Source organism: Homo sapiens, chromosome 9 (assembly GCF_000001405.40).
Source record: "Homo sapiens chromosome 9, GRCh38.p14 Primary Assembly".
In the NCBI taxonomy this organism is placed as follows: Eukaryota; Metazoa; Chordata; class Mammalia; order Primates; family Hominidae; genus Homo; species Homo sapiens.
Window position 1 is genome coordinate 86,150,332 of NC_000009.12, and position 9,544 is coordinate 86,159,875.

Genomic DNA, 9,544 nt, shown 5'->3' on the forward strand with positions numbered 1-9,544 from the left:
CTGAGTTAAAGCTAGGAGTAAATTGCTGTCAGAAGGAAGGAAGATAGAGAGAAGGTTGATGTGATTAAGATTTTCATCCCAGCAGGAGCTACAGTATATAGCCCTATTGCAAAGAGTATGGTTAGTATGCTGCTTAATAATATGATGAAATAATAAAAGGATTCCATTAAAGGGGTAAGGAGAGGTGTTAAAGATAAAGATTATGTAGGTCTTCATTTATCTTTTTAAGGAGGAAGGGGTTTTTCTTCAGGATCAATGGTAGGAGCCTTTTAAGTCTGGGTTATTTCCTTCCAAAATAGGAGATGCAATCCTCCAATGGTTCAAAGGTGTATGGAGGCTTGTCTGGCTGATCTTGGGACTCCTGAGCTGATGGTCCTGCAGGTTCCTCAGGGGATGTCCAGAACTTAACTCGGGTGTGATGAATCCAAGATTCCACTCCTGCCACCTTAACTGCAGTGGGGGTAGAGAGGATTACCGAGTATGATCCTTTCCACAAAGAGTCCGTAGGTGGGGAGGTAGAGGGGAGAGATTTGACTAACACTAGATCTCCTGATTGAAACAACTCTGTTCCCTTTTCTCTGTGACATCCTTCAGGTAGTTTTTTAAGGTTTTGTTGATATTTTGCCAAAGAAGTTATATCTTTGACCAAGTTGGCTGTTTCCTGATCAAGTATGAGGTCATTTGTGAGCAAATGTCATCCATACAGCATTTCATATGGACTGAATCCCATTTTGTGAGGAGAATTTTGGATTCTCAAGAAGGCCATGGGCAAAAGAGTAGGCCATGGGAGATGAGTTTCTTGTGTTCATTTCCTTAAGTGCCTCTTGAGTGTTTCATTTGCCTGCTCGACCTTCCCTGAGGATTGTGGCCTCAGGGTGCAGTGAAGGTGATATTGTATCCCTAACACCCTGGAAATTCCCTGAGTTTTCGTGGCTTTAAAAGCCGGACCATTGTCACTCTGTAAGCTTTGGGGAAGCCCAGATCTAGGAATTATTTCATGAATTAGGACTTTAATCGCTTCCTGAGCCTTCTCTGTCTTGCAGGGGAAAGCTTCTATCCAATTTGTAAAGGTATCAATACAGACCACCAAGTATTGAAATCCCTTTGACTTAGGCAGATGGGTGAAGTCTAACTGCCAGTCCTCTCCAGGATAGTGATCTATTCTTTGTTCCCCCAAAGGAGCCTTATGATGGACCAAGGGATTATTCCTTTGGCACACCTCACAGGCTTTGACTACCTGTCGGATGGTCCAGAGGAGATTTGGCCCTGTAAATAGGGATTTGGCCATTTGAAGAGTGTTTTCAATACCCATATGAAAAGTTTGGTGGAGGGTTTTAAGTATTTTCCACTGGTTGGCTTCAGGCATAAGTACCTTTCCTTCTTCTGTTGTTAACCACCCGGAGGGGAGAAAACTATACCCCCGTGAAAGTCCCCATTCTGTTTCAGTTGGGGAATACTTGGAGGGGGTTGTTCCTATCAAAGGTCCTTCCATAGCTATTTCTAATGGGAGGTTCTGCCTGGCAGCAATTTTGGCCTCAGCATCTGCCCAACAGTTTCCTTCTGCCTTTTCTCCTTCACCTTTCTGATGACTTCGGCAGTGTAAGACTGCCACCTCCTTGGGTTTATGCACTGCATGCAATAACTCCATAATTTCCTTGTGGTATTTAATGGGGGCTCCCCCAGAGGTTAGGAACTCCCTTTCTTTCCATATTGCACCATGGGCATGTAGGATCAGATAAGCATACTTGCTATCTGTATACACATTTATTCTTTTTCCTTTTCCTAGTTCTAAGGCTTGGGTAAGTGCTGCTAGTTCTGCTAAGTGGGCGCTGGTCCCTGGGGGAAGAGGCTTACTTTCAAGTATGGTTACATCACTAACTATGGTGTAACCTGCCCTTCGTATCCCATTCTCCGCATATTAACTTCCATTGGTATATAGGTTAAGGTCAGAATTAGCTAAGGGGACTTCTAAGAGATCATCTTGGGTGGCATAACTCTGGACTATAATTTGTTGGCAGTCATGCTCAACTGGTTCCCCATCTTCTGGGATAAAAGTGGCAGGATTGAGGGCCATGCACATAAGCATTTGAAGCACCAGTCCCTCAAGGAGTAGCGCCTGGTATCTAAGTAGGTGGTTATCTGATAGCCATAAACTTCCTTTGGCACCTAGTATGCCATTTACATCATGAGTAGTCCAGACAGTGAGATCCTTTCCTTGTATTATTTTGATACCCTCTGACACTAAGATGGCCACTGCTGCAACTACCCTTAAACAGTGAGGCCAGACTTTCACTACTACATCAATTTCCTTACTTAGGTATGCCACTGGTTGTGGGGTTGTCCCACGAGTCTGAGTAAGGACTCCAAGAGCTATCCCTGCTCTCTCTGTGATGTATAAACAGAAGTTTTGTCCTGTGGGAAGGCTTAAAGCTGGAGCTTGTACTAGGGCCTGCTTTAAGGTTTTGAAGGCTGTTACTGCCCCTGGCTCCCATTCTACTAGATGAGTATTTGCCCTCTGGGTCTCCTTGATTATAGAGGGGCCTGGCTATCTTGCTGTATCCGGGGATCCCATAGTTGGCAAAAGCCAGTGATTCCAAGGAACCCCCACAAATGTTTTAATGTCTTAGGGTGAGGATAAGCCAGTATAGGCTGTATTCATTCCTTGCTGTGGGCTCTGGTCCCTCTAGCTAAGATTAGGCCTAGATATTTGACCCGTTGTAGGCAAAGCTGAGCCTTCGACCTAGATGCCTTTTACCCTTGATTAGCTAGAAAGTCCAAGAGATCTAGAGTAGCCTGCTGGCATGACACTTCTGAACTGGTAGCCAAAAGCAAATCATCCACATACTGAAGGACCAGAATGCCTGGATTTGAGAAGTGGCCTAGATCTTGGGCCAGTGCCTGACCAAACAGGTGAGGGCTATCCCTAAACCCTTGGGCAAGACCATCCACGTAAGTTGGGATGTGTGGTCTGTGGGATCCTCAAAGGCAAAGAGAAACTGGGAGTCAGAGTGCAGGGGAATATGGAAGAAAGCATCCTTGAGGTCCAGAACAGTGAACCATTCTGCTTCCTCTGGTATTTGAGAGAGCAGTGTATAGGGGATGGGTACAACTGGATATAGAGGAATTACTGCCTCATTGGTGAGTCTAAGATCTTGCACTAGTCTCCACTGGCTGTTCTGTTTTTGTACTCCTAGAATTGGGGTGTTGCAGGGACTGCTGCATTTCCTTACTAAGCCTTGAGCTTTTATATGTTTAATATCCTGTAATCCTTTATGAGCTTCAGGCCTTAAGGGATATTGCCTTTGATAAGGAAAAGTGGTGGGATCTTTTAGCCTGATTTGGACTGGGTGGGCATTTTTTGCCCTTCCAAATTGTCCTTCCAATGCCAAGACTTCAGGGTTGATTCCCTCCTCAAGTAGGGGACAATGAATGGGTGATTTGTTCCCCATATTCATGTAGATAATAGCTCCAGCTTTGGCTAATATATCCCTCCCTAATAAGGATGTGGGACTTTCAGGCATAACAAGAAAGGCATGTGAAAAGAGTAAAGTCTCCCAGTTACAACTGAGGAGGTGGGAGAAATACCTGGTTACAGGCTGTCCCAGGATTCCTCGGATGGTAGTGGACCTTGAGGACCGTCGTCTGGGACAGGAGATTAACACTGAGAAGGCTGCACCAGTGTCCAGGAGGAAGTCAATTTCCTGGCCCTCAATGGTTAAACATACTCGGTGCTCAGTGAGGGTGATGACATGAGCTGGCACTTGCCCCAGGCACCCTCAGTCCTATTGTTGGATCATCTGGTTGGGGGCTTCTGGCCCAGAGAACCTTTGCCCTCTGGGGCAGTGCACCTTCCAGTGATTGCCTCAGCATAGCAGACATGGACGAGGGGGCAGCTTATTTCTTGTTGGACAATCTTTTTTAAAGTGTCCTTGTAAGCCACACTGATAATAAGTCCTACTGGGTGATTGGCCTGCTCTTTTCTATCCTCTCTGAACCACCAAGGTTTGTTTATCTGAGGGCCATTACTAAGGCTGCAGCCTTTCTCTGATCTCACTTTTCCTTTTCGGCCTGTTCCTCTTGGTCCCTATTATAGAACACCGAGGTTGCCAGGTTTAATAATGCCTCCAGATTTTGTTCAGGGCCCAGGGCTCGCCTTTGGAACTGTCTCCTGATATCTGTGGCTGATTGGGTAATAAACTTATCTTTTAGAATCAACTGACCCTCGAGTGAGTTGGGTGACAGGGGAGTATATTTTCTTAAGGCCTCCCGTAACCACTTGAGGAAGACAGAAGGATTTTCTTCCTTTCCCTGAGTTATGGTAGACATCACTGAATAACTCATGGGCTTTTTCCTAATTCTCCTTAGTCCTTCTAGAACACAGGTCAACAGATGTTTATGACTCCAGGCCCCATGATCTGAGTCGGGGTCCCAGTGGGGATCCATACTGGGGATGGCTTGCTGACCGGCAGATAACTTGTCCCTTTCTTCAGCTGTCATTCTATCATTTGCTTGACTAAGATATCAGGTATCCAAACTCTCAGCCTGCAGCTAAAGCCGCATTCTTTTCATTAAAGACCAGGGTTTGATCTAACAATAGCATGACATCTTTCCGAGTGAGATCGAAGGTTTGCCCTAGACCCTGTAGGACATCTGTGTACCTATCAGGATCATCTGAAAACTTCCCCAGGTCTGCCTTGATCTGCTTTAAATCAGAGAGGGAGAAGGGGACATGTACCCGGGTTGGGCCAAATTCCTCTCCCCCTACAGCTTGAAGGGGACATAACCGATAGCCCTGGGGTTTTTGTGGTCCTTTGGAGATTTCTTTGCTTATTTCCTTCTGGGTGGGGGAGATTAGAGGAGGCTTATCAATAATAGGAAGGGGAGTTATAGGGAGGCTAGGATATGGGAGTAAGCTGAAAGGTCCCCCTGTGGGATGTAAATTGCAAGTTTGGCAGAGTTGTGTATCCTCCTCCAATGAAAAGAAAGCTTGGACATAAGGTATGTCACTCCATTTGCCTTCCCTGTTACAGAAAAGGTCAAGCTGCAGTATAGTATTGTAATTTATACTTCCCTCAGGTGGCCATTTTTCCCCATCAGAGAGAGAATATTGGGGCCAAGCCATAAAGCAGAAAAAAATGAACTGACTCTTTTTCAGGGTTTGTGGGTCAAATTGGTCCCAATGGCTTAGGATGCATTTCAAGGGTGAGCCTGTTGATGCCTGAGTGTTTCCCATGTGAAGGACAAACCACCTGTGGTTTTGGTTTGTTTCTCCCCCTGCCCAAGAACCTGCAATGGTCCCTGGACCCTGCTGATTGGAATACTTGCGCTCACCAACGCAGCAGCAGAAACACCTCTTGCGCAAGGACCCACAACAGTCCCTGGACCCTGCTGATTCGAATAGTTGTGCTCACCAATGCAGCAGCAGAAACACTAGTTTTCCTCCTAGACCACAAGGAGGACCAAGGAAGGTTGGATTTAGTGGCCCTTACCAACACATTCTCAAAAACCTGCACCCTTGCTTGTCCTCCTAGACCACAAAGAGGACCAAGAAAAATTGGATTTAGTAGCCCTTACCGATGCATTTTCAAAAACCTGTTAGAGTCCTAAGCATTCTCCCGTTAGTATTGGGACTTTACTCATGTCCTATAAAGATGCTATGCCCCAAAAATGAAGTGGAGGGCCATAACCTGAGGGATGGGAGGGATCTCCAGAGTTAGAAGAGTGATGCCTTTTGTCCTCACTTATATGAATAGGAAGGATGCAATTTCTGAGGCTCCCCATATCCTAGCTTCAGGAATAGCTTTTGTTAGGCCTGCTTGTCTGAGGAGGGATCCTAAAATTCCAGATAGTTCCCCCTATGATGGGGCTTTGGGCAAAAATTATATCTTTCTGATTGGTGAGCCCGAGTGCCTAAAGAAGGTAACAGAGTCCTGAAGTTTATACTAGAAATCATTCTTACAGGAGAAACTAGAAAAGCACCAGAGACAGGGAGTGGTTTTTAGAAGCAGGACTAGCCTTGGAGAAGAGAGGCAAGAGGAAGTTTGTCTGACAGGCATTAGGACCCAGGAGGCAAGGGTCAGGGTAGACAGGATAGATGGGTGAGCCTCGGTTAGGTGATACGACTTTGAGAGTTCTGTTCATGGCTGCAGGGTCAACCAACTTGTTGTCGGGACCCCGGAGCTGAATGGCTTTCTTCTCTGTCAACCCTCTGCTCAGCCCAGAAGTACAGGAAAAGCAGAAGCTGGTTCCAAGAAAACCAACGCTCCCAACTCCGAAGAGTAAGGGGTTGTTAGAGAGCCCTTTCCCAGAAAGCCTGACACTCGTGTCTTTAGTCCAGCAGCCATGCTGGTCACTTTTAACTGGCCAACAGATGCCCGGTATTTACCCACCAAATTCTAAGGAAAAATAGGACAGAATAGCAAGTGAAAGGGGTCCGATGGTGCTCACTGCTTGGTGATAGTCGATTGGCCCCACATTGGGTGCCAAAGTGTGTCCGGAATTGGTTCCTTCTGGTGGGTTCTTGAAGGGCAGATCACCTGAGGTTGGGAGTTCGAGACTAGCCTCACCAAGATGTAGAGACCCCATCTCTACTAAAAATACAAAATTAGCAGGGCATGGTGGTGCATGCCTGTAATCCCAGCTACTTGGGAGAATCACTTGAACCCAGGAGACGGAGGTTGCAGTGAGCCGAGATCACACCATTGCACTTCAGCCTGGGCAACAAGAGTGAAACTTTGTCAAAAAAAAAAAAAAAAAAGGGGAGAAGCCAAGATGGCCGAATAGGAACAGCTCCGGTCTACAGCTACCAGCATGAGCGATGCAGAAGACGGTGATTTCTGCATTTCCATCTGAGGTACCGGGTTCATCTCACTAGGGAGTGCCAGACAGTGGGCGCAGGTCAGTGGGTGCACGCACTGTGCGTGAGCCGAAGCAGGGCGAGGCATTGCCTCACTTGGGAAGCGCAAGGGGTCAGGGAGTTCCCTTTCTGAGTCAAAGAAAGGGGTGATGGACGGCACCTGGAAAATTGGGTCACTCCCACCTGAATACTGCGCTTTTCTGACGGGCTTAAAAAATGGCGCACCACGAGATTATATCCCGCACCTGGCTTGGAGGGTCCTACGCCCACGGAGTCTCGCTGATTGCTAGCACAGCAGTCTGAGATCAAACTGCAAGGCAGCAGCGAGGCTGGGGGAGGGGCGCCCGCCATTGCCCAGGCTTGCTTAGGTAAACAAAGCAGCCGGGAAGCTCCAACTGGGCGGAGCCCACCACAGCTCAAGGAGGCCTGCCTGCCTCTGTAGGCTCCACCTCTGGGGGCAGGGCACAGACAAACAAAAAGACAGCAGTAACCTCTGCAGACTTAAATGTCCCTGTCTGACAGCTTTGAAGAGAGCAGTGGTTCTCCCAGCACGCAGCTGGAGATCTGAGAATGGGCAGACTGCCTCCTCAAGTGGGTCCCTGACCCCTGACCCCTGAGCAGCCTAACTGGGAGGCACCCCCCAACAGGGGCACACTGACACCTCACACGGCAGGGTATTCCAACAGACCTGCAGCTGAGGGTCCTGTTTGTTAGAAGGAAAACTAACAAACAGAAAGGACATCCACACCAAAAACCCATCTGTACATCACCATCATCAAAGACCAAAAGTAGATAAAACCACAAAGATGGGGAAAAAACAGAACAGAAAAACTGGAAACTCTAAAGAGCAGAGCGCCTCTCCTCCTCCAAAGGAACACAGTTCCTCACCAGCAATGGAACAAACCTGGATGGAGAATGACTTTGACGAGCTGAGAGAAGAAGGCTTCAGACAATCAAACTACTCTGAGCTATGGGAGGACATTCAAACCAAAGGCAAAGAAGTTGAAAACTTTGAAAAAAATTTAGAAGAATGTATAACTAGAATAACCAATACAGACAAGTGCTTAAAGGAGCTGATGGAGCTGAAAAGCAAGGCTTGAGAACTACATGAAGAATGCAGAAGCCTCAGGAGCTGATGTGATCAACTGGAAGAAAGGGTATCAGCGATGGAAGATGAAATGAATGAAATGAAGTGAGAAGGGAAGTTTAGAGAAAAAAGAATGAAAAGAAATGAGCAAAGCCTCCAAGAAATATGGGACTATGTGAAAAGACCAAATCTACATCTGATTGGTGTACCTGAAAGTGATGGGGAGAATGGAACCAAGTTGGAAAACACTCTGCAGGATATTATCCAGGAGAACTTCCCCAATCTAGCAAGGCAGGCCAACGTTCAGATTCAGGAAATACAGAGGACGCCACAGAGATACTCCTCGAGAAGAGCAACTCCAAGACACATAATTGTCAGATTCACCAAAGTTGAAATGAAGGAAAAAATGTTAAGGGCAGCCAGAGAGAAAGGTCGGATTACCCTCAAAGGGAAGCCCAACAGACTAACAGCGGATCTCTCGCCAGAAACCCTACAAGCCAGAAGAGAGTGGGGGCCAATATTCAACATTCTTAAAGACAAGAATTTTCAACCCAGAATTTCATATCCAGCCAAACTAAGCTTCATAAGTGAAGGAGAAATAAAACACTTTACAGACAAGCAAATGCTGAGAGATTTTGTCACCACCAGGCCTGCCCTAAAAGAGCTCCTGAAGGAAACGCTAAACATGGAAAGGAACAACGGGTAACAGCCGCTGCAAAATCATGCCAAAATGTAAAGACCATCAAGACTAGGAAGAAACAGCATCAACTAACGAGCAAAATCACCAGCTAACATCATAATGACAGGATCAAATTCACACATAACAATATTAACTTTAAATGTAAATGGACTAAATGCTCCAATTAAAAGACACAGACTGGCAAATTGGATAAAGATTCAAGACCCATCAATGTGCTGTATTCAGGAAACCCATCTCACATGCAGAGACACACATAGGCTCAAAATAAAAGGATGGAGGAAGATCTACCAAGCAAATGGAAAACTAAAAAAGGCAGGGGTTGCAATACTAGTGTCTGATAAAACAGACTTTAAACCAACAAAGATCAAAAGAGACAAAGAAGGCCATTACATAATGGTAAAGGGATCAATTCAACAAGAAGAGCTAACTATCCTAAATATATATGCACCCAATACAGGAGCACCAAGATTCATAAAGCAAGTCCTGAGTGACCTACAAAGAGACTTAGACTCCCACACATTAATAATGGGAGACTTTAACACCCCACTGTCAACATTAGACAGATCAACGAGACAGAAAGTCAACAAGGATACCCAGGAATTGAACTCAGCTCTGCACCAAGCGGACCTAATAGACATCTACAGAACTCTCCACCCCAAATCAACAGAATATACATTTTTTTCAGCACCACACCACACCTATTCCAAAATTGACCACATACTTGGAAGTAAAGCTCTCCTCAGCAAATGTAAAAGAACAGAAATTATAACAAACTATCTCTCAAACCACAGTGCAATCAAACTAGAACTCAGGATTAAGAATCTCATTCAAAACCGCTCAACTACATGGAAACTGAACAACCTGCTCCTGAATGACTACTGGGTACATAAAGAAATGAAGG

At 45.9% G+C, this 9,544-nt stretch overlaps 1 long non-coding RNA gene across 1 annotated transcript in view, besides 1 other annotated feature; it reads left to right on the forward strand.

Moving 5' to 3' along the window:
- The window catches only part of LOC101927623 (uncharacterized), a 29,547-nt gene extending 22,792 nt beyond the window's left edge, over positions 1 to 6,755 (forward strand). The window contains exon 5 of the long non-coding RNA NR_110996.1: positions 6,150 to 6,755. This is a non-coding gene — a long non-coding RNA (uncharacterized LOC101927623). The remainder of the gene's footprint in view (positions 1 to 6,149) is intronic.
- Positions 6,379 to 7,012: an enhancer, noted in NCBI's record as "H3K27ac-H3K4me1 hESC enhancer chr9:88771625-88772258 (GRCh37/hg19 assembly coordinates)". NCBI's record gives its function as "activates a minimal SCP1, AML or CMV promoter by ChIP-STARR-seq in primed H9 embryonic stem cells {active_cell/tissue: H9 hESC(primed)}" and the evidence as "EXISTENCE:reporter gene assay evidence [ECO:0000049][PMID:30033119]".